This window comes from Homo sapiens, chromosome 18 (genome assembly GCF_000001405.40).
Source record: "Homo sapiens chromosome 18, GRCh38.p14 Primary Assembly".
NCBI classification, from domain to species: Eukaryota; Metazoa; Chordata; class Mammalia; order Primates; family Hominidae; genus Homo; species Homo sapiens.
The window spans coordinates 63,859,267-63,860,647 of record NC_000018.10 but is presented as its reverse complement, the minus strand read 5'-3'; positions in this window follow the sequence as shown (position 1 = coordinate 63,860,647).

Sequence of the window (1,381 nt, the reverse complement as noted above, 5' to 3'; positions counted from 1 at the left end):
CTTGGGTGGGAACCTGGGCCTGTGCTGGCTTCAGGTGTGACCCAGCACATTCCCAGCTGTATATGGGAAGAGATTCCTTCTGCTGGAGAAAAGAAGAAGTAAAAGTTAAAAAGACTTTGTCTTGCACCTTAGGTACCAACTTGGCCACAGTGGGGTAAAGCACCATGCAGGCTTTTGGGGTCCCCAATTCTAGGCCTTGGACCTTCAATATCATTTCTGGACCTGCCCTAGGCCAGAGAGGAGCCCATTTCCCTGACAGGAAAGTCCCAGTCCTGAAAGCACTTACCACAAGCTGACTGAAAAGCTCTTGGGCTTGAATAAACATTAGTGATAGCCTGGCAGGACTTGCTGTGAGCCTAGGGCAGTGATGGCCATGGGGAGAGGCTCCTCTGCTTGTGGAAAGGGGAAGAAAGAGTGAGAAGGACTTTATCTTGTGGTTTGAGTGCCAGCTCAGCCACAGTAGACTAGAGCACCAGGTAGATTCCTAAGATTTCCGACTCCAGGCCCTGGTTCCCACATGGCATATCTGGACCCACCCAGAGCCAGGGGTAACTCACCACCCTGAAAGGAAGTATATAAGTCTATCTGGCTTTGCCACCTGCTGATTGTGGAGCCCTAGTGCCTTGAGCAAATGCAGATGGAAGCCAGGCAGTAGTTACTGCGGGCCTTGGGCAAGACACAGTCTTGTGTGAGCTTTAGGTCTGACTCAGCACAGTCCCAGTGGTAGTGGCAATAGGGGTGCTGGTGTCACTTCTCCCCCAGCTCCAGGCAGCTCAGCACAGAGAGTAAGACTCTGTTTGGGAGAAAGTAAGGGAAGAAAACAAGAGTCTCTGCCTGGTAACCCAGAGAATTCTTCCAGATCTTATTGAAGACCACCAAGATGGTACCTCTGTGAATCTGCAAGAGCCACAGTGTTACTGGACTTGAGGTTATGCCCTAATGCAGTTATAGCTGCAATGACCAAAAACTTAGGTTACAACACCCAAATCCCTTTGAATATCTGAAAAGCCTTCCCAAGAAGGACTAGTACAAACAAGCCCAAAACTGCAAAGTCTATAATAAATACTTAACTCTTCAATGCCTAGACACTGATGACCATTCACAAGCATCAAGATCATCCAGAAAAACATGAACTCACCAAGCAAACTAAATAAGGCACCAGGGAGCAATCCTGGAGAAACAGAGCTATGTGACCTTTCAGACAGAGAATCCGAAATAGCTGTTTGGGATAACTCAATGAGATTCAAGATAACACAGAGAAGGAATTCAGAATGCTATCAGATAAATTTAACAAAGAGATTGAAATAAGTTTTAAAAATCAACCAAAGATTCTGGAATTGAAGAATGCAATTGACATACTGAAAAATGCATCAGAGCTTCT